The 23,016-nt window shown below is 44.7% G+C and overlaps 1 protein-coding gene and 1 long non-coding RNA gene across 15 annotated transcripts in view, besides 2 other annotated features; one reads left to right on the forward strand and one right to left on the reverse strand.

The window, feature by feature from the left end:
- The window catches only part of TJP2 (tight junction protein 2), a 133,945-nt gene that overhangs the window by 34,402 nt on the left and 76,527 nt on the right, over window positions 1-23,016 (forward strand). For 3 of the 14 annotated variants that reach the window (NM_004817.4, NM_001369872.1, NM_001369873.1), the window contains exon 1: window positions 18,612-18,767. The exons of 9 other annotated variants lie outside the window; for them this stretch is intronic. In NM_004817.4, the coding sequence (NP_004808.2) occupies window positions 18,708-18,767 (60 nt within the window). In that variant the 5' untranslated portion in view covers window positions 18,612-18,707. Of the gene's footprint in view, window positions 1-18,389; window positions 18,768-22,377; window positions 22,465-23,016 lie in introns of those variants that run through there. 2 more of the 14 variants (XM_047424092.1, NM_201629.3) reach the window with 2 other exon arrangements.
- Window positions 8,895-15,932, reverse strand: LOC124902175 (uncharacterized). Its single transcript, XR_007061566.1, has 2 exons — window positions 14,991-15,932; window positions 8,895-11,807 (listed from the first exon to the last, which is right to left on the reverse strand). It is a non-coding gene; the product is annotated as an uncharacterized LOC124902175 (long non-coding RNA).
- Window positions 18,201-18,630: a silencer, noted in NCBI's record as "silent region_19933". NCBI's record gives its function as "represses an Ori minimal core promoter by ATAC-STARR-seq in GM12878 lymphoblastoid cells {active_cell/tissue: GM12878}" and the evidence as "EXISTENCE:reporter gene assay evidence [ECO:0000049][PMID:35858748]".
- Window positions 19,521-19,710: an enhancer, noted in NCBI's record as "active region_28447". NCBI's record gives its function as "activates an Ori minimal core promoter by ATAC-STARR-seq in GM12878 lymphoblastoid cells {active_cell/tissue: GM12878}" and the evidence as "EXISTENCE:reporter gene assay evidence [ECO:0000049][PMID:35858748]".

The raw sequence follows: 23,016 nt of genomic DNA on the forward strand, positions 1-23,016 counted from the left end.
CAAATATTTAATGAGCATCTCGCACTGTGCTGCTGAGGGAAATGTAGAGGAATATTAAGCTTGTCCCTGGTAGACTTTGGAGCCTAATTTGGAATCAGTAAATTGCATTGCTGTGTGTAAAGTACTGCCCTCACCCCCTTAAGAGGATGTGGCAGAAGGCCTGAAGCAGTGACTAAGTCAGGGGAGGATTCCTGCGGCAGGTGATATTTGAAAGGAAACCTGAGGCTAAAAAGTTATTGGCTATGTGCACTTATGGGGGAAGAGAAACTCGGAGCAGAGCCTGTACATTAAAAGAGTCTGGAGATGCTGCACTAGGTGAGAAGAAAAGGTTTGTGTTTGTTCTGAGAATTCCATTGTGACTCCTATATGTAAACCAGAAAGTATCAGAGACAAAGTCTCAATCAACTTAGAGAGTTTGGCCAGGCAGGGTGGCTCACGCCTGTAATCCTAGCACTTTGGGAGGCCCAGGCTGGAAGATCGCTTGAGGCCAGGAGTTTGAGACCAGCCTGGCCAACATGGTGAAACACCATCTCTACTAAAAATACAAAAATTAGCTGGGTATGTGGTGTGCACCTGTAATCCCAGCTTCTTGGGAAGCTGAGGCACCAGAACTGCTTGAACCTGGGAGGCAGAGGTTGCGGTGAGCTGAGATTGCCACTGCACTCCAGCCTGCGCAACAGAGTGAGACTCTGTCCCAAAAAAAAAGAAAAATTTAGAAAGTTTATTTTGCCAAGGTTACAGGACATGCCCATAACACAGGCTCAGGAGGTCCTAACGACATGTGCCCAGGGTGGTCAGAGTACAGCTTGCTTTTATACATTTTAGGGAGACATAATACATCAATCAATACATGTAAGATTTTTTTTTTTTTTTTTTTTTTTTTTGAGACGGAGTCTCGTTCTGTCGCCCAGGCGGGAGTGCTGTGGCGCGATCTCCGCTCACTGCAAGCTCCGCCTTCCGGGTTCACGCCATTCTCCTGCCTCAGCCTCCCGAGTAGCTGGGACTACAGGCGCCCGCCACTGCGCCCGGCTAATTTTTTGTGTTTTTAGTAGAGACGGGGTTTCACCGTGGTCTCGATCTCCTGACCTCGTGATCCGCCCGCCTCGGCCTCCCAAAGTGCTGGGATTACAGGCGTGAGCCACCGCGCCCGGCCAATACATGTAAGATTTACTACATTGGTTCCATCTGGCAGAGCAGGACAACTCAAAAGGGGTAGAGGGGCTGCCAGGTCATAGGTACTCTACTCTAGGGGTACCTAGGGGCTGCCAGGTCATAAGTACTGCTATTCTAAAGCCTCCAAGTAACAGGCTTTAGAGAATAAACTGTAAACATTTCTTATCAGACTTCAGGTCAGTGTTGATGTTAATATTGGAGGGGTATGATGGGGCATGTCCAACCCCCACTTCCCTTCATGGCCTGAACCAGTCTTTCAGGTTAAATTTTAGGGTTCCCCGGCCAAGGAGGAAGTCCATTCAGATGGTTGCAGGGGCCCTTCAAATTTTATTTTTGGTTTATAGATATGAAATAAAGATGCAACTGTATAATGATCATGATGAAATGTGGGTGCTTACTGTGTAGTTGGTGCTGTGCTAAACATGTTACTCAAACATGTTACTTCCATCGTCTTATTTCTCATACCCATCCCATGAGGTGGAGGTCCAACTCTAATCCCCATTTGTAGTAGTTTGCCGAAGCCACAGTAACAAAGCACCATAAACTGGGTGGCTTAAACAGAAATTAACATAAATTATTGTCTCATGGTTCTAGAGGCTAGAAGTCTGAACTCAAGGTGTCTGCAGAGTTGGTTTTTTTTTTTTTGAGACAGAGTCTCACTCTGTCGCCCAGGCTGGATTACAGTAGCATGATCTTGGCTCATTGCAACCTCCACCTCCCGGGTTCAAGCAATTCTCCTGCCTCAGCCTCTTGAGTAGCTGGGATTAGAGGCACACGCCACCATGCCTAGCTAATTTTTGTATTTTTAGTGGAGACGGGTTTCCCATTTTGGCCAGGCTCTAACTCCTGACCTCAAGTGATCCATCTGCCTTGACCTCCCAAAGTGCTGGGATTACAGGTGTCAGCCACCACGCCTGGTCCTTATTCTTTCTTGCTTTCTAATGACTTAAAGCTAAACATATTTTCCAAACAGAAATCAGAGTGTGTGCTTTTTTACTCATGAACCAACAAGACAGAGTGCTGGTCATTTGGCCTATCCTTGGAAATCTGTGATGTCTGGACATCTTAAGCATAGCATGTAGATGAGTAATACTCAAGCTAGGTTCTGAAGCATAATTTAATTATACTCCTGCATGTTTAAAAGAATTCAGAACCTAAGAATTAAAAGCTGACCCAGAGGCAGGCACAGTGGCTGGCCGGGTGCGGTGATTCACTCCTGTAATCCCAGCACTTTGGGAGGCTGAGGCGGTGGATCACCTGAGGTCAGAGTTCCAGACCAGCCTGACCAACATGGTGAAACCCCATCTCTACTAAAAAACAAAAACAAAAAATTAGCCGGGCATGGTGGTGCACGCCTGTAATCCCAGCTATCCCAGCTACTCGGGAGGTTGAGGCAGGAGAATCGCTTGAATCCAGGAGGTGGAGGTTGCAGTGAGCCTAGATGGCGCCACTGCACTCCAGCCTGAGGGACAGAGCAAGACTTTGCCTCAAAAAAAAAAAAAAAAAAAAAAAAAGCTGACCCAGAGCCCTAGATCTCTTAACTTTTCACAGCCAAATCTTAAAAGGCTTCTCTGTGCTTTTTGTTCCTTTTCCTCACTATCACCTGCCCTTCTGACACTTTCTCCTCTACCTATGCCAGAAACTTAGAGGCCCAGTAAGTGGTTTCAGGTGTCCTATGGGCTGCGCACAGCACTAAATAAAAGCACTTCCCTTAGCTCTTCCCTTAAACGTTGCTGTTTAAGGAAGCTTATTCTTCTTCTTATTTTCAAGACAGGGTCTTGCTCTGTTCCCCAGGCTGGAGTGCAGTGGCATGGTCATAGCTCACTGCAGCCTCCATCCCCTGGCCTCAAGCAATCCTCCTGCTTCAGCCTCCCAAAGTGTTGGGATTATAGGTGTGAGCCACTGCACCAGGCTGGAAGCTTATCTTATGATTTCCATTTCATCTGATAAAATTGAGATGAAGAATTTGCTTCTAGTTCTGGCTGGAATGGGGGGGTTCTTCACTCACATCGGTTTTGATTCTTCACTCATATCAGTTGAATGGTTGGTGACAAAACTTTTCAGTTCAGTCAAAATTTTTATTCATTTAGAGGTAATCTGATTGTGTAGTGAGATTAGGCAATCCCCTTGGGCAGGATTCACCGCCCCCCCCCCATCAAAATTATTTGATATTTGAAAAAAATATGCCGGGCACGGTGGTTTACACCTGTAATCCCAGCACTTTGGGAGGCTGAGGTGGGCAGATTGCTTGAGCTCAGGAGTTCGAGACCAACCTGGGCAACATGGAGAAACTCTGTCTCTACAAAAAATACCAAAAAGAAAAAAAAATAGCTGGGTGTGGTGGCGGGCGCCTGTAATCCCAGCTACTTGGGGGTGCTGAGGCAGGAAGATAACATCACTTGCGACCAGGAGGTCCAGACTGCAATGAGCCAAGATTACGCCACTGTACTCCAGTCTGGGTGACAAAGTGAGACCCTGTCTCCAAAAAAATAAAATAGTGATGTTTGAAAAAATATATACAATTTTTATTATAATTATTGCTGTTTGATATTGATATTTGAAATATAATATTGATATTGATATACAAGTAATCAAACATTTATGCATATATAAAATTATTTTTACTTCACATCTTAAGACTGGTTACTTAAAATAATTAACTCTGTCAATACGCTTTGAAAGAGGCTTTGTAAATTGTTAAAGTTACATTTGTCTCTTCTGATAGCTTTAGCTCAGCAGAATAAATATGGTAATAGTTGGCTGGGTACAGTGGCTCACGCCTGTAATCCCAGCACTTTGGGAGGCCAAGGTGGGCATATCAAGAGGTCAGGAGATCGAGACCATCCTGGCTAACACGGTGAAACCCCGTCTCTACCAAAAATGCAAAAAATTAGCCAGGTGGTGGAACGCGCCTGTAGTCCCAGCTACTCGGGAGGCTGAGGCAGGAGAATCACTTGAACCCGGGTGGCAGAGGTTGCAGTGAGCCACTGCACTCCAGCTTGGGCAACAGAGGGAGACTCTGTCTCAAAAAAAAAAAAAAAGAAAGAAATATATACATATATATATATATGTGTGTGTGTGTGTTTCTTTTTTTTTCCTAGAGTGTGTATATATATATAGCAATAAAGAGGGATGCTTTCCCAAGACTTAGAACAAGAAATCAAAATACTTTAGCAACTGAAGGATGATTCAAGCAAAGGCAGAACTCGATCAAGAAGGGAGAAGATATGTAAAAAATAAAGTGTCATTGGGAAGAATAGCTAGGATTGGCTCTGGAAAAAATAATAGAAAAACACTCTGCTTATGTGATTTAGTGTTTACAATGTAAATCTGAAGGACTTCTGAATCTTTTGGAAATAAACCTGGATTGACTTGTTTAAAAACTTAGATCATGTCTCAGTGACAGAGCTCAGCAAAAAACAAAAACAAAAACAAAAAACAGAAACAAACAAAAACTTAGCTTATGACTTTGGAGGTAGGAAAAGCTGAAAGCTCCCTACATTCCTGAAATTAAATGAAAGATTTCACTCTTGTGTTTAACCTGGCCTTCAGATCCTAGATTAGCAAAGAATTTGATGTACCTTCTACAAACCTGATTTTGTTCATTATGACTCCACACCTTGCTTGCTTTCCTTCACTACTCTAGGAATGTGGAAAAGTTTAGCTGGATGTAGTCCTGGCCTACCAGCAAGCTCTCCCAGAGAGCATGGGACAGAAAAGCTCAGAGACCAAAACCAGGTGTTAAAATCACACGATTCACTCAACTTGAAAACATAGTGAGAAGCAAGGGGAAAAAGATGGTGTATTAGTCTATTTTCATGCTGCTGATAAAGACATACCCAAGGCTGGGCAATTTACAAAAGAAAGAGGTTTAATTGGACTCACAGTTCCACATGGCTGGGGAGGCCTCACAATCATGGCAGAAGGTAAAAAGCACGTCTCACATGGCAGCAGACAAGAGAAGAGAGCTTGTGCAGGGAAACTCCCTTTTTTAAAACCATCAGATCTCGTGAGACTTATTCACTATCATGAGAACAGGATGGGAGAGACTTGCCCCCTTGATTCAATTACCTCCTACTGGGTCCCTCCCATACCTTGTGGGAATTCAAGATGAGATTTGGGTGGGGACACAGCCAAACCATATCAGATGGAGACTAACAGGTAGGTGAGGATACAAATGGGGTGAGAGATCCACACTTCTGGAACCCTATGCTTGCAGTGTCAGCTTTCCCTGCTGATGGTGTGGTCACAAAAACCAAAGTTAAGGTTGAACAAGGGGCTTCAACGGATGGGAAGTATCTGAAGTCAGCACATGCGTGCTGTGTCGGAGGGATGCAAGGTAGTATGCCTGGCCAATAGCTGTAGGTCATCAGTGATGTGTGTGTGTGTGTGTGTGTGTGTGTGTTTAAGATGGAGTTTCGCTCTTGTTGCCCAGGCTAGAGTGCAATGGCATGATCTTGGCTCACCGCAACCTCCGCCTCCTGGGTTCAAGCCATTCTCCTGCCTCAGCCTCCCAAGTAGCTGGGGCTACAGGCATGCGCCACCACACCCAGCTAATTTTTCTATTTTTAGTAGAGATGGGGTTTCACCATCTTGGCTAGGCAGGTCTCGAACTCCTGACTTCGTGATCCATCCGCTTCAGCCTCCCAAAGTGCTGGGATTACAGGCATGAGCCACTGCGCCCGGCCTGATCTGTGTTTTATCTACATTTTGGGGCAGAGTATATGTGGGGCCAGAACTGAACATGATGGATGTCACCTATGGGTGATCAATTTAGGAATGACATAGCTGTCAATCTTGGGGTAACATGAGCTGAGCACTATTATATATTATTAATATTTATGAAGTGTCTATTATTAACAATGTAAATCATAATCTAGAAAAATACTTTATATATAATTATATATTATATAAACAATATATAATTGACCGGGTGTGGTGGCTCACGCCTGTAATCCTAGCACTTTGGAAGGCCGAGGTGGGTGGATCACCTGAGGTCAGGAATTTGAGACCAGCCTGGCCAACATGGTGGAACCCTGTCTGTACTAAAAAATACAAAATTAGCCGGCGTGGTGGTGCATGCCTGTAATTCCAGCTACTTGGGAGGGTGAGGCAGAATTGCTTGAACTCAGGAGGCAGAGGTTGCAGTGAACCAAGATCATGCCATGGTACTCCAGTCTGGGTGACAAGAGCAAAAACTCCATCTCAAATAAATAAATAAATAACAGCATATAATTATACAAATTATATTTTTATAAAATTGTATTATATAATAAATATAATTTTTATATATTATATATGAATATATATGCCTTTATATATTATATATATACATAAAGTATAATTTTGTATTATATATTATATATAAAATACAATTATAAGTTAAATATTTATTAACTTTACTATTAAGTAAATATTGTAAGATTTAAAATTTATTTCATTCCTCCATTTCTTTGTATGTATAAGTAAAACTCTCATTTGTTTCATTCTTTTAATCTATATTTAACACAGGAATATTCTATTCTGTTTAACATCTTACAGGTTATTATCTTACATGTCTTACAACTTACTGTTTACACTTAACACATCTTATGAATTCTGCGTGAGTCTTACAAGCTACTTATTTCCTCATTATCTATGCTAAATGAATCAGGAGTTTCATTCATCTGATTTTTAAATTGTCCTCTATACTAGTTTGAAGGAGAACTTTAAATGAAAGTATTTATTCAGCCAATTATGGTATATTCATACAAATGGAATATTATGCAGTTAGAAAAGATGATGATAGAGATCTAGTTCATGAAACAAATAGTCAAACTCTATTCTTATGTAGAAATAGGTTGCAAAAGAGCAAATTTGGTGTATCCCAAGTGTATACCCCAGGTGTCTAAGTTGTGTACAATATGTACCTACTTGTCTGTGCAGAGAGATACCTGGAAAGGTGCTCAGTAGTTGGCTCTGGATGGTGACATTTTAGTTGTACTTTACCACTTTTTGGTGATCTACTTACTGCATAGTTTGAGTGAATAAACAATTATCACTTATATTAAAAACTGAAATCCAAATGTGTGTTTGTACAAACATATGTAAATAACATAAAAAGAATTGTAAGACCAGACCCTTTTCTTCTGAAAAACGTACACAGCATTTTGCAAATAATTATTTTTTAAAAAGTATCTTTATTTTATTTTATTTTTTTTTTTTTGAGACGGAGTCTCGCTCTGTCGCCCAGGCTGGAGTGCAGTGGCGGGATCTCGGCTCACTGCAAGCTCCGCCTCCCGGGTTCACGCCATTCTCCTGCCTCAGCCTCCCAAGTAGCTGGGACTACAGGCGCCCGCCACTACGCCCGGCTAATTTTTTTTGTATTTTTAGTAGAGACGGGGTTTCACCCTTTTAGCCGGGATGGTCTCGATCTCCTGACCTCGTGATCCGCCCGCCTCGGCCTCCCAAAGTGCTGGGATTACAGGCGTGAGCCACCGCGCCCGGCCTCAGTATCTTTATTTTAAAACATTTTTAGCTGAGTGCGGTGGCTCAGGCCTGTAATCCCTGCACTTTGGGAGGCCAAGGCAGGTGGATTGCCTCAGTTCAGGAATTCAAGACCAGCCTGGGTAACATGGCGAAACCCCATCTCTACCCAAAAGACAAAAATTAGCTGGGCATGGTGGTGCACGCCTATGTTCCCAGTTACTTGAGAGGCTGAGGTGGGAGGATCACTTGAGCCTGGGAGGCAATGGTTGCAGTGACCTGAGATTGTATCAGTGCACTCCAGCCTGGGCAAAAGAGTGAGAGACCCTGTCTCCAAAAAAAAAAAAAAAATTGAGATGGGGTTTCACCATGTTGCCCAGACTGAACTCAAATCCCTGAGCTCAAGCCATCCATCCACCTCAGCCCTCCCAAAGTGCTGGGATTACAGGCGTGCGTGAGCTGCCATGCCCAGCTGCAAATAATTATTTTTTTAAACTTCAAAATGTTTTACCTGACTTCAAAATTGTAATCTTTCTGTCTTGTGTCAGAGAATTGTAATGATGTCCCTTTAGCAGAATTTCCTAAACCTCTCCCATGATGAGAATCACCTGGGGGGGCATGTGAACGCTGTCAGATCCCAACGCCCTTCTCAGACCCACTGAATTGGAATCTCTAGCAAGGGACCTAGGACACTGGTTTTAACAAGTGCCTCTGGTGATTCCTATCATCAGAGAAATTTAGGACACTGTCTTATAGAACCATAAATTTTATGAGCCACGTTTTCAATTTTTATTGAACATCTCCCGGAGGTGCCTTTTCCAGGCCAGTTTCCTTTGTTTAAAGAGGCCCATGCAAATTTGCATGGCTACCCTGGAAAGCTATTTGCTTGCAGGTTTTTTCTAAGGCCACTTTCAGATCCGAAAATTCTTTGTGAATCTAAGATACTCTTCAACTTTAATCTGTGTTGATCGAGGATCCTGAATTCTTAGAGCTAGCCGATTCTGGTGATAAGTTTTTTAAAGCAATTCAGGAATGCAGAGGGCCCTCTGGTTTCCCCAGAGTACTGGACAGTCCCCTGGGCCTTGCTCACCTTATATTCCCTCTTAGAGCCCCTGAGAGGAGGGCCTTTTTATTTAGTGAAAATTTTTGTTTACTGAAGTGTTTTTCTTAAAGTATTTTGGGGGTGAAGGGAGCTCTGAAACTCAGTTAGACAATAGAACGGCATTTGAATCAAGGATTCTCTCGTTGGAGTCAAATCGCATTTGTGGCATTGACCTTTTTAATATTTCATAGGAAGAGTTTCACAAACTTGATTCCCCAGCATTGCTTGGATAAAACTCACTTTAGTTGCTGCGAGAGCAAAAATCGTCTTGCATTCTGTTAAAAGAAGCTAAAAGGAAAGCAACAATAACAGCCACACCTCTCCTCCCACCCCATGCAATTGTTTTACTGGGTAGAGGCAAAGAATAGAGGGGCCGGAAAGCCGGGAAGTGAATGGGCTTTGAATCTGACAGACCTGGACCTGGATTTTTTTTCTTTTTTTTGAGATGGAGTCTTGCTCTGTTGCTCAGGCTGGAGTGTAGTGGTGCGATCTTGGCTCACTGCAAACTCCGCCTCCCAGGTTCAAGCGATTCTCCTGCCTCAGCTTCCCGAGTAGCTGGGATTACAGGCGCCCATCATTACGCCCGGCTAATTTTTATATTTTTAGTAGAGACGGGGTGTCACCACATTGGCCAGGCTGGTCTTGAACTCTTGGCCTCAAGTGTTCCGCCTGCCTTGGCCTCCCAAAGTGCTGGGATTACAGGCTTGAGCCACGGCGCCTGGCTGGATTCTTTCTTTTTTTGAGACAGGGTCTCAGTCTGTCACTGAGGCTGGAGGGCAGTGGCACAATCACGGCTACTGCAGCCTCAACCTCTTGGACTCAAGTGATTCTTCTGTCTCAGCCTCTGGAGTAGCTGGGACTTCAGGTGTGTGCCATCACGCTAGCTCATTTACTTTTATTATTTTTATTTTTTGTAGAGACAGGGTCTTCCTATGTTGCCTAGGCTGGTCTTGAACTCCTGGGCTCATGTGATCCTCTCACCTTGGTCTCCCAAAGTGCTGTGATTACAGGTGTGGCCACCATGCCCGGTGGGTTTGGATTCCATCTGCTTGAGGACAACCATGGGCAAACTGCTTTCTCTGAAGCATAGTTTCTTCACGTATAAAGCAGGGGCAAGAATACTGACTATATAGTCACTACATTGAATGACTTAGTATAGTATATGAAAAGCTCTTGGCACAGAATATGCATTTAGTCAATCATTGTTTATCAGAGTTTCTCCACTGCTTCTCAGTGGAGGGCTAACAAGGGGTCTCTATCCCCGAAAAGAGAGTGTGGCTTTCATATATTCTGCAGTGTAAACAGCAGTAAAATAGTAAAAGCTGTCATACTTTGGAGCACCTTGGAGTGCCTCTGAGGACCCAGGGTGTCCTGCCAGGAAGAAGTGCTCCCTCCTCCATGTTGCAAAGCACGCTCCCCAGCAGGTATGTCTAAACTAGAACGTGTGCCATAGGATGCTTCTTGGCTTTCCAGGAGTGGATCAGGGTTACGCTCTGCCTCAGCCCCAGGCGGAGCACCACCGTGGCCTCTGCCCACCAGCCTGAGCACACCCAGATGAGCCCTATAAGTCACCTAGGAGTCTGCATGTGGTCAGCCTAGACTACAGTCATCTCCTTCCAACCCAGGACTCTCCCCAAACACCAGTCTAGGGCACCCCAGCTTCTTAATCCGTTCAGGCCATAGCTGACTCTGAATTGCACAGCTAATTCTTTTTTATTTTTTTTTGAGGCAGGGTCTTGCTCTGGCACCCAGGCTGGAGTGCAGTGGTACGATCTCGGCTAGGCAGCCTCTGCTTTCCAGGCTCAAGCCATCCTCTTGCTTCAGCCTCCCAAGTAGCTGGGACTACAGGTGTGTACCACCAGGCCTAGCTGTTTTTTGTAGAGATCAGGTCTTGCTATGTTGCCCAAGGCTGGTCTTGAACTCCTGGGCTCAAACAATCCTCCCATCTTGGCCTCCCAAAGTGCTGGGATTACAGGCGTGAGCCATCTGCCTAACCTTATTTACTGTTTTTAAACAGTAAACAGTAAAACAGTTTTAAACAGTAAAACAACACAGGGCCAGGCACCGTGGCTCATGCCTGTAATCACAGCACTTTGGGAGACCAAGGTAGGAGGATAGCTAGAAGCCAGGAGTTTGAGGCCAGCCTGTGCAACATAGCAAGACCTCATCTCTACTAAAAATAATTTTTTTTTCTGAGTAGCTGGGATTACAGGCATGCGCCACCATTCCTGGCTAAGTTTTGTATTTTTAGTAGAGACGGGGTTTCACCATGTTGGCCAGGCTGGTCTTGAATTCCTGGCCTCAAGTGATCTGCCTCCCAAAGTGCTGGGATTACAGGCGTGAGCCACCGTGCCCAGCCTTAAAAATATATTTTTTAAAAAATTAGCCAGGCCTGGTGGCATGGGCCTGTAGTCCCAGCTACTTGGGAGGCTGAGGTGGAAGGACTGCTTGAGCCCAGGAGTTGGAGGCTGCTGTGAGCTATGATTGTGCCACTGCACTCCAGCCTGGGCCAGAGTGAGACTTTTTCTGAAAAATAAATAAAATAGGCTGGGTGCAGTGGCTCACGCCCATAATCCTAGCACTTTCGGAGGCCAAGACGGGAGAATCACTTGAGGTCAGGAGTTCAAAACCAGCCTGGCCAACATGGTGAAACCCCGTCTCTACGAAAAAAAAAACCCCAGAAAAATTAGCTGGGCGTGGTGGCACATGTTTGTAATCCCAGTTTGGGAGGCTGAGGCAGGATAATTGCTTGAACTCAGGAGGCGGACGTTGCAGTGAGCCTAGATCATGCCACTGCACCCCAGCCTGGGCAACAGCAAGACTGTCTCAAAAACATAAAAATAAAAATAAATAAATAAAAATAATACTGTAGTGGGATCTCATTTTTGTAAACATTTTTCGTTTCTTGATAAGTCATCCATGTGGTCTTCTGTCTGTATATATGTCTGGAATGTTCACCTAATGTCGAAGACAGGTATTAGGACTTTAGTTTTTAAATTTCTTGGTGCTCTTCTGAACTCCTCAGATGCTTTATAATGAGCACCTTATTCTTGCAAAACTCAGTGGTCTAAAAAATTAACAAAAATGAAAATAGTTTTTAGTAACTATGGAACAATGTAAATAGCCTTACACCTTAAGTTACTTGCTTTAATAAATAGAAGAATGTCTACCTGGCCTGGTGTGGTGGCTCACGTCTGTAATCCCAGCACTTTGGGAGGCCAGGAGGCTGAAGCAAGCAGATCAATTGAGGCTAGGAGTTCAAGACCAGCTTGGCCAACGTGGTGAAACTCCACCTCTACTAAAAATACAAAAATTAGCCGGGCATGGTGGCACATGCCTGTAATCCCAGCTACTTGGGAGGCTAAGGCACGAGAATTGCTTGGACCTGGGAGGCAGAGGTTATGGTGAGCCAAGATTGCACCACTGCACTCCAGCCTGGGCAAGAGAGCGAGAGTCTGTCAAAAAAAAAAAAAAAAAGAAGAAGAAGAAGAATGTCTGCGTGAAAATTTGTTCTGTTCTTTGAGATACTAGAAACGTAGATGCCAACGTGTTGGGTTTAATGGCAAAAACCGCAATTACTGTTGCACCAACCTAAAATAATTGAAAAGTGGCAACTTAGAGCAGCTTTGTTCTTTCTACATAATATCAAGATGTGGGAACAATCCTGAAGACAGGTAGTCTGAAAATTACTTATGAGTGATCCACTGAATGTTTCTAAAGGAAAAGCAAGAATCTTCAGTTGCCCAAAAGATGGAGGAGGTCTGAGAGTTCTTAGAGTGGTTTAGAATGTGTTCCTCTGTGCTGGAAGATAGCTTGAAAATACTTTGCTGTCTTTGTAATCTTTATACATCTATGATTGCTATAAAGTCAGCTTTGTTCTCTATTTCTAGAACCATCATGTATTGGAATGAGGAGCATCTCAATTCACAGGTCTATTATTTCTTGGGGGTGGGTGTCAGAGGGCATATGGCATTAGAAGCAGCTCTGTGTACAACTGAAAACAGTGTCGAAGCTATTTAGGATCTGGGAAGTGTACAAGTTAATTACCCCCACCCTCAAAAAAGAAAAAAGAGGAGGACTTTAACAAACTTTGAAAGTGATCATGAGGGCAGGACGCGGTGGCTCATGCCTGTAATCCCAGCGCTTTGGGAGGCTGAGGCAGGTGGATCACCTGAGGTCAGGAGATCGAGACCATCCTGGCCAACACGGTGAAACCCCATCTCTACTAAAAATACAAAAATTAGCCAGGTGTGGTGGTGGGCGCCTGTAGTCCCAGCTACTCAGGAGGCTGAGGCAGGAGAATCGCTTGAACCTGGGAGGCAGAGGTTGCAGTGAGCTAAGACGGCGCCATTGCACATTGCAATCCAGCCTGAGCAACAAGCGCGAAACTGTCTCAAAAAAAAAAAAAAAAGAAAAAAGAAAGTAATATATAATAACTAAAAGTGAAAGCATAAGGGGGAAGCAGAACGTTAGATGCCGCTCTCCTGGAGGTAATCACAGGGGCCATTGAGTGGGGTGATTATTGTGGGAGGAAGCCTGCAGGTGAACCGGGTGGTTATTGTTAACTGGTGTTTGGACTGAGGAAGATGGGTGGAGCCAGGAGAGGAGATGAGGCTACCTGGAAGTGGGGGCGGGGACGGGGGAGGACACAAGGCCTTTACTGAAAAAACATCAGGTCCTTCTGGCGGAGTTTTAGCTGCTGCCTCAGCACTTTAGTCATCTCTGTAGTTGAGCAATTCTCCTAACGTGTCACAATGTGTTTACATATCGTTGTCTTCAACACACTGTGAGCAGGCTCCCTTTTATAAATTGTCATTATCTTCTGTATAGCTACCCCAGGGTATATGGTAGGCATTCAAGAAAGGTTTGTTAAAGGAGAGTTACGATTCCAGTCTACTTTACAGTGTACACGTTAACTAAATTGTTTGGTGAACCTGTAAACTTTTCTCTTTTTTTTTTTTTTTGGGGGGGGGATGGAGTTTCACTCTTGTCGCCCAGGCTGGAGTGCAGTGGCGTGATCTCGGCTTACTGAAACCCCCACCTCCCAAGTTCAAGTGATTCTCCTGCCTCAGTCTCCCAAGTAGCTGGGACTACAGGCGCCTGCTACCATGCCAGCTAATTTTTTTGTATTTTTAGTAGAGACGGGGTTTCACCATGTTAGTCAGGGTGGTCTCGAACTCCTGATCTCAGTTGATCCATCCGCCTCGGCCTCCCAAAGTTTTGGGATTACAGGCGTGAGCCACCGTACCCGGCTGAACTTGTAAACTTTTCAGTGTTAGTTTTCTTTGCTCCCAGTTGATGATACTTTATAACCATATTGCAGATATATACATATATATATATACACACACACAGATATGTTTCTTAAGATCTCCACATTCTTGAGAAAATATGACTAAAAGGCATTTAGTTTATCTCATTAAGGTCTTCTGACCAACTTATTTCTTATTTTTTGAGACAGTGTCTCTCTCTGTCACCTAGGCTGCAGTATAGTGGTGCAGTCATAGCTTACTGCAGCCTCAAATTCCTGGGCTCAAGCAATCCTCTCCCCTCAGTCCTCGAGTAGCTGGGACTACAGGCACATGCTACCATGCCCAGGTAATTTTATTTTATTATTAGTTTTTGTAGAGACAGAATCTCACTATGTTGTCCAGGCTGGACTCAAATCCCTAGGCTCAAGCAATCCTCCTGTCTAGCCTCCCAAAGTGCTGGGATTACAAGCATGAGCCCCTGCACCTAGCTGACCAACCTATTTCAGAGACCTTATATATTGTAATATACACTGAAAAGTTGAAAAAAATTGTCCATTGCACAAACAATAACTAAATTTAAAAAGAAAAATATATGCACAAGCCTGTCTTTTCATGAAGTCATTTTTTTGCATACTTTCCAGTTTTTATTTTTTTTATAATTTTATCACTGTCATCATCATACATTAGATGTAATTTGTGTTTTTTTGTTGATAATTATAGCATTATCATTCTCCTTGTTGTATAGACTTCCTTATTACAATTTTAAATGATGGTCTGCTATGCCAATTATGTTGATTTACTGTAATTTAATAGCCCAGCCCACCATCATTGGACATTGGTGGTTTCCATCATTCATTATTAGATACAGGCATATAGTGAAGTGCTGCCTCATACCTAGTCATCCACTGTAATCTAACCTCCAGTCGTATCTTTCCATTGAAAAGCTCTGGCCAAGATAAGCAGTGGTCCTCCACTTAATGAACATCATCAGTTCTTACCTTAATTGACCTCCTCGAAATTCCATGTTGTTGGCCTCTCCCTCTTTCCTGAAGTTTGTTCTTTCCTTGGCTTTTTGGACACTCTCCTCCAGAAGCGTTTTCTTTCCTTTCTGGCAGCTCCTCTTTGGTCTCTGTTCTGGCAACTCAAGTCTGCCCCCTAAATATTGGCATTCCCAGAGATGAGTCCTGTCCTTAGTCCTCTCTTGGCTTAATCTACATCACGTCTCTGAATGTGGGATTGTCCCCTCCCAAGACTTCAACTTTTATGATACATTGATGATACCCAAATCACTCCCAAATCTCTCTCCTCAAATACTCATCAGTGCCTAGCACATAGGAGACACTTGATACATATTTGTTAAATTACTGAACATCTTCACCTGGATGACCCATAGCACTTGAAAATCAGTCTGTAACTAAACTCATCATCTTTCTTCAAGCTCCTCCCAAGATCTGCTCCCACTCCTGTGTTCTGTTTTGATAAAAGCCACCGTCATCTCCTTTAAGTAAGCCAGAAACCTGAGAGTCAGCGTAGGCTCACTTCCCGCTCGCGTCTCCCCATATCTAGTCAGGCAGTCATCCAGCCTGCTGATCTACTTCCTTAGTTTCTCTAGAATCTGGCTCCCTTTTGTCTAACACTGCCTAACTTCATAGCCACGTCATCTCTCACCTGCATTCCCACAAAAATGCATTTTTGGCCGGTCTTGTCATTCTTACTAACATTCTCCTCCCCCACCAACCCCTGTCCCCCACCAACTGTCAAATCCATCTTTATACTTGCCTGGGCAACTTCACCTTCTGGCACCTCAAGAGTAAGCCTGCTGTCTCTTCCTTCCTTACTTCTCTCTGTGTTATTTATTCCCCTTACCTGGAAGGCTTTTTTCCTTCTTTGTGTCTTAAAAACTCATTCCGACCTCTCCTTTAGAATGTATAAGCAACCCCATCTCTGGAAAGCCTTCCCTAAGTCTCTCCTGCTAGACCACTCTGAGCCTGCCAGGAATCTCAGTGCTTACACAGTTTATCATTACTTGTTGATTGTCTACTGCAATAGACTGAGTTTCCTAAGGCAGGATCCTGAGTATTTTATCAAGGGGTTGACAGAGGTGTTCAGTAAGTACCTGTTGAGTAGAAGAATTTTTTTTTTTTTTTTTTTTTTTTTGAGACGGAATCTCGCTCTGTCACCAGGCTGGAGTGCAGTGGTGCAATCTCGTCTCACTGTAACCTCCGCCTCTTGGGTTCAAGCGATTCTCCTGCCTCAGCCTCCTGAACAGCTGGGACTACAGGCGTGCGCCACCACGCCCAGCTAATTTTTGTTATTTTTAGTAGAGACGGGGTCTCACCATGTTGGCCAGGATGGTCTTGATTTCTTGACCTCGCGATCTGTCCGCCTCGACCTCCCAAAGTGCTGGGATTACAGGCATGAGCCACCGCGCCCTGCGGAGTAGAAGTTCTTTGGATAAACACATTCTAGGAGTGGGGTCAAAATGTGCAAACCCACACGTGAAGAAGATGACTAATAAATTGTTTCTCCAAAGAGTTGTATTGATTTACACTGCCACCAGCAAAAAAGCTAATATATCAACTGAACCGTGTTTCTAACAACCATTTACTGAATGCTTATCATCTGTCAGGTGTTGTGCCAGAAGAATGGAGTTTGTCTATAAATATTTCATCATTTCGAGTAGTGCAGTCCAACAGAACTTTCTGCATTGATGGAAATATTCTATATTTGCACTGTCCAATAGGGTAGCTATTAGCCACATGTGGCTTCTGAGCCCTTGAAATGAGACAAGTGTGACTGAAGAACTGAATTTGTCATTTCCTCTAATTTTAGTTAATTTACATGTAAATGTAAACACTTACTGGTGGCAAGTGGTCATCTTATTGAACAGTGCCGCTCTAGAGAGAAAAAAGGAAATCAGTCAGTAGATGTAACTGCCACATTCTGGATTATTTTTTAAATGTTAGTGGCTCTAAGCCCACATCATTAAGGTGTGGCCACCTTTCAAGTGCTATCATTTTTATTAGTCAGCACCACCTAATTTGGGAAATATTTTATTTTTTTTTCCTTTTTTTTGATTAAAACAATTTTTAAAAAATAGAGATGGGGTCTCACTATGTTGCCCAGACTGGTCTCAAACTCGTGGGCTCAAGTGATTCTCCTGCCTTGCCTTCCCAAAGTGCTGGGATTACAGGCATGAGCCACCGTGCCTGGCCAGATTTGGGAAACATTTTATAAATAGGTGCTTAGATCAGGAGAGCAATGCCTTACATCAGGAATACAACCAAAATGTCTAAGTCCGGAGACTCGAGGCAAAGTGGGAAACGTTACTCACAGTGCTTTTTATCCAGAGGCGTGGACTTAGTTACTCCAAAGGAGTCCAGAAGCATAACACTTCTGGAGAGGCATCTACTGGACTTGTTTTTCCACGAAACTTCTAGACTTGTTTTGATCAGGCAGGAAGTGAAGCAACTTTTCAGGGAGAGAGCCCAGCATCTGCATCTCCTCTGGGACAGACCACACCTTTTACCTTCTACTTGTGAGCCTAGGACGAGTTTTGCTTTCCAATTAAGGGAAGAGCAGGGCAGGCAAAACTATTCTCTTACAAGATGGTTTTTTAAGATTTCAAACCCAAGGTTATATTTTTAATCGGTACCTGTTTGGATTCTCCAAATTAATTTATATGCTCTTAAAATAAAGACACTTAACGTCACTGCACAATTCTTTGCACATGGAGGACTTCGAAAGGAATAAGCACACTGAATTGCATTAGATGAATCCTGTCAGATAAGCACTTGTGACCTACTGGCAACCTTTTATAAGCTGATGATGGGAGAGGAGTTTCAATCTCTTTATTGGAGTTGTTGGAAATGTGCCAAAGAGATAACCTGGAATATATTGTCCTGAAAAGTCCTGTTTTAATATTTAATACGAACATCTTATAACCCTCGGAATTCGGGTAGGCAGTTGTTGGGCTGAGAAATGTGGGGTACAAGGCCGTGTATGTGTTGGTTAGCCGGGCAGGCCTCTAGACAGGACCTAAAACTTTGAGGTTTTCCCAGTTCGACTCTTCGTAGGAGAACTGAAGCTGCCTGTGTGAGGCCCTGCGAACCTCGCCAAAAAGTCTTCCTACAGGATGCCCCCGCGACCTCACCGGGGAAACACCGCGGACAGTCGGGCCAGCAGCGCCCGGAGCTCACTCCAGGTCTCCAAACTTGCAGCACTTCCCAGAGCGCGCGCGCTCGGAGCGGGACCTGCTTGCTCCAGTGCACGCCGCGGAGCGAACCATCGGGCTGGCGGGGGTGGAGGGGTGCAGGCGTGGGGGCTGCGGGCCGCTCGGGCCTTGGGCTTCTCCTGCCGCCGCCGCCGCCTCCCGCCCCCGGCCAGGAGTCGCGCGTGACGCGGTTCGCCGCAGGAGCCTCGAAGGCGCGGCGCCGGCGAGCCCTTCCCCGGCAGGCGCGTGGGTGGTAGCGGCCAATTTGACAGTTTCCCGGGCCGGGCGGCCAGCGCGGAGGCGCCACGCTCGGGTCGGGGGCGGGCTGACGCCGCCGCCGCCGCGGGAGGAGGGACAAAGGGGTGGGTCCCCGCGGGTCGGCACCCCGGCGGTTGGGCTGCGGGTCAGAGCACTGTCCGGTGGTGCCCAGGAGGAGTAGGAGCAGGAGCAGAAGCAGAAGCGGGGTCCGGAGCTGCGCGCCTACGCGGGACCTGTGTCCGAAATGCCGGTGCGAGGAGACCGCGGGTTTCCACCCCGGCGGGAGCTGTCAGGTTGGCTCCGCGTAAGTGCCTCCTTGTGCCGCGCGGTTGGGAGGAGGGTCGTGAGCGTGAGCGTGGGAGCGCTGGGGGCTCTGCTCGCGTGCTGCTCTGAAGTTGTTCCCCGATGCGCCGTAGGAAGCTGGGATTCTCCCATCCGGACGTGGGACGCAGGGGAGGGGTAGGTTTCACCGTCCGGGCTGATGACTCGTGGCCTCCGGGGCTCCTGGAACCTTTACTCTGAAGTCACTTGGGCTGGAGATTAAGGCGCGAGTAGGGGACACTGTCTTGAACCCGGTGTCCTGGATTTCTGCTGGCTTGGAGGCATCTCGTGTCTGTTGTGTCGCTTGCATGTCTTTGTGTTTTCCTTCTCTATTTCAAACCACACTCGGTATTGATGCAAAGTTACAGGCTTGTGTACGTGAGAGAAACTGAAAACTCATCACAGAGCAGAATCCCTTTTCCCTTTCAATCAGCTGCGTCTGTAATAGAAGTAAAAGTTGTTTTTTTTTTTTTTTTTTTCCAGTAGGGAATGGGGATGGAGGTTTGGAAGGACCCACAAAAGAGGAGTGTGATGAATGCTTTGTATTCTAGTACTAGCCTACCTGTCACCAGTTCTTTTTATGTCTTCATTTGTCAAGTTTCTGCTTTTACACGGTAGTTTAAGTTATAAATAATCAGGGATTTCTACCACAGGGTTTTAACATTCTTGAAATGTGGACAAACTTGGGAGTGAGTGCTCCCGCGCTTAGTAATGGAATACAGCCTCCCACCTCTATTTCAGCTTCAGTTCTTAGGCTAGGCTGCTTTTCTGGCAGCTGTCTGGCCTGAGTAATGATGGTTGTGGTTTCCCTGAAGTTCCCAGCGGAGAGTCATCCCATGATAGAAACTGCCTTGCGCTTCTCACTCACGCTCTCAGCCCGGGGAATCCCAGCGGGGAGGAGGGAGGGAGGTCGTTTTCTTCAGCTCCCCAGGTGGTCTGTGCTGGGTGTGCTGACGGTCCTTTTGGGAAAACAGGTCCACCTTTGCCAGCGTAATTCAGAAAGAGATGTAATTTTCTGAGAGCACACACCTGGGCAGGAGATCGCTTGAAGTGAGAAATTCGTAGTGGTAAATGTATTTGTAGCAAAGTACCACTGCATATCCTGCTTGAGAGGATGAAATTTGATTATTTAGTAAGTTTTCATGAACAACTCCACTTCAGTGTGGGGATTACGCAGATGAGCAAGAGCGTGGCTCTGTCACACAGTCCCGTTGGGAAAGCCTGCAACTCATTAAGAATCCGATGAGTGCCATTTAGAAATGTGGACAGGGTACTGGAGCTTCCTCATTGTGGGGAGATGGCAGAAGCGGAGGTGCTTTACTAAAGCACCGGTGGCTTTTGAGGTGTTTCTTGTGTTTTTTTCAGAACTACTTCTGCAGTGGGGCCACTTTATTTCTTTTCAGAGCTACTTATGCAGATTGATGAAGGGGAACTTTCCCCTCTGAAATGCTGCTGTAACTTTTTCAGTACCATCCAGATATTATAATACTGAATGAGCCCCTACTCCTGCCAGTCACTGTGGGGGATACAAAGATGAACAAGATTCAATTTCTGCATTTAGGGGTCTAGTGGACCTGAAACTGTTAGACTTTACTCTGCAATCTGTGTCGGGATTCCTGAGACTGAGGGAGGGAATGTATGATGCCGATGCACACTCTGCAATACAGAAATTTAGCAAAGAGTGGGATTGGTCCTATATGCATTCCCTTCAGGGGATTCTTGCTGGGAATAAAGGGCATTTGAACAGTTACCTCACCCGAGCAAGCCACTATAGAAAATGGGGCCAGTAATGCGCCCACCTCACCGGGCTGAGTGAGGTCTGAATGAAATGACAGAGAGTACAAGGCATGTGGTGGATGCTACGTAAATGGTGGTAGCTAGTAATAGGAACAAAACGGGTGCTGAAAACTCTTAAGTGTTGGGTCCTGGGTTGATAAGGGAGGTGAGATCTAAAGATACAAGTAGGAGGTGCCAGGTAGGTGTCCAGGAAAAAACTGAAAGAGTTGTTGTTCACACTCTGTTAAAAGGCCTTGAAGGCCATAACGAAGCTTTGGGTGGGGGGAAGTCAGAAATCCCTCATGTATTAAATGACTTGACTTTCCCTACAAAAGAAGCGAACCAGTTTCCCAGTAAACATCCCACCCCATAACTATTTTTGAGGCATTCATAGGCTTAAGACCAATGAATTTTTACATCACCCCCGGGGGAATTGCATTTGCAATGACTTCTGCCTACATTTAACTTTTGATCTAGTTCTTTGTACACTGACAAAAGTTCACAGCCAACCATTTCTCTTCAGGACAAGTGTGAGAACTTTCTGCATACTGCTGAAGGCAAGGGAGATTTTGAGTTTAGCAAGGTTTTCTCTCCTTAAGAAGGTTATCTTTTTACGAGACACAAGTTATTGAAACTAGGCGGGGCCACTTTAGTCCTGTGTACAATAATATGTGTAGTAATATAAATAGTAATTTAAAAAGTCATGCAGACTTGGTTGGGGAGAGGCATGAAGTTTGGGTGTGGTGGGGGCGGGGTGAAGCGGTAGAAGGGTTCGCAATCACTGCTGAAACTTTCAACATATTCTACCAACAATATGAGCCACCAGGGAATTCCTTGCCTCATCTCTAGAACGAATCCCATTAAGCAGTTGTGGCTACAGATGAATTTATCTAGGTTGAGAGCTGATTCCCAATAACATGCCTCATTGATTTGACTCTAAGCAGTAATCAGGGGCCCAACAGTTGTTGGACCAACCAGCCTTGATTTTCCAGAGAAGGTGATTTGGTATATGGTAGTGTCTGAGGGTGAGATTGCCCCAGATGGGAGTGGAGGGAAGCAGAACAGTTTTCTCTGGTGTTTTACTGAGTTTTTGTCTTGATCCTAAATCCAAGGGTTAGGGTCAGAAACACAGACTCAGAGGTTAGATTTAACACCCATTTAGTGGGTTAAACACATCAATGGTTATGTGAACTTTGTTAAGGTTTAAAAAGCTATTTAGGGCCTGTTTCTCCCTCATAGGAATTTTTGCAATCAGCCTTTTTAGTAGATGCCCATATAGAAAGTGAATTTGGGAGGGTCTAAGGTGGTATTACTATTAAACTTTTTGAAAAGGCTGTGTGATAGCAATGGAAAAAAAAATTCAGGCATGGAAATCCAATATGCAGTATTGCAGTAGCTAGTTTTAATTTTATTTTTGTTTTTTTGGTTTTTTTTTTGGAGATGGAGTCTTGCTCTGTTGCCCAGGCTGAAGTGTGGTGGTGCGGTCTTGGCTCACTGCAACCTCTGCCTCCCGGGTTCAAGCGGTTCTCTTGCTTCAGCCTTCAAAGTAGCTGGGATTACAGAAGTGAGCCACCGTGCCCGGCCACTAGTTTTAATTTTGGATGGTACCTAGGAAAGCAGTTGAGCTAGTATGCTGCATACATTGTAGTGTGAGAGGCAGAGTTCCGAGTTGGAGAGTGTCTGCTTCCACTTTTTCCATTTGATTAGGAAAAGCACTTCTTAGAACTGGGTGACTGACAGCTAGAGCCCCAGAAGACCTGCACAAGCTGGGGCAATGGCTACCCATAACAGTGACGGCTCCATTCTGTTTTTTAAAGGGATTGGTGTCTCTATCATCCAGCTGGCCATTAAACAACCAAAGCTTCATCATCCTAGATAACCTGTGAGCTCTCAGAGGAGACAGAGTAAGGACTATCATACCCCCAAAATACCTAATCATTTAATAAAGCATTTTCTCTACCTTTTATGCTATCCCAAAACAGTGCTTTCCAAAGTCTGGTATACAGACAGACTTACAGGTGGTGCAGAGAGATACATATTCTATTTTTCAATTATGATGCATGAATATTATATGTTAGGAATAAAAACAGAAAACCAGCTACCACATCCATTTATTTCATGGCTAGATTGCTTAGAATGAGGCAAAAATAAATATTAAGTAAAGCAGTGAGTTTGCTTTAAGAAAAATTATCAACTCTGGGAATGAGTAATATGAGGCTAAGGCAAAAATGGTAAAGCTAGCCCTTGACATCTGAGGTGTGCATAATACTGCTTAAAATATGAGTGTGGTGCTTACTTATAGAGAGCCTGGTATACCTTGACCACGCCTTCAAGAAAGTCAAACACAGAATGGCCCAGAATAGCCAGGAAAGTTGAATTTGATGGACTTTCTGTCTTAAGCGTGTGCATCCTGCTCTTATCCACTCAGATCTCTTAGATGTGGTTGCAGACAGTGT

The sequence above is a fragment of the Homo sapiens genome, chromosome 9, assembly GCF_000001405.40.
Source record: "Homo sapiens chromosome 9, GRCh38.p14 Primary Assembly".
NCBI lineage: Eukaryota > Metazoa > Chordata > Mammalia > Primates > Hominidae > Homo > Homo sapiens.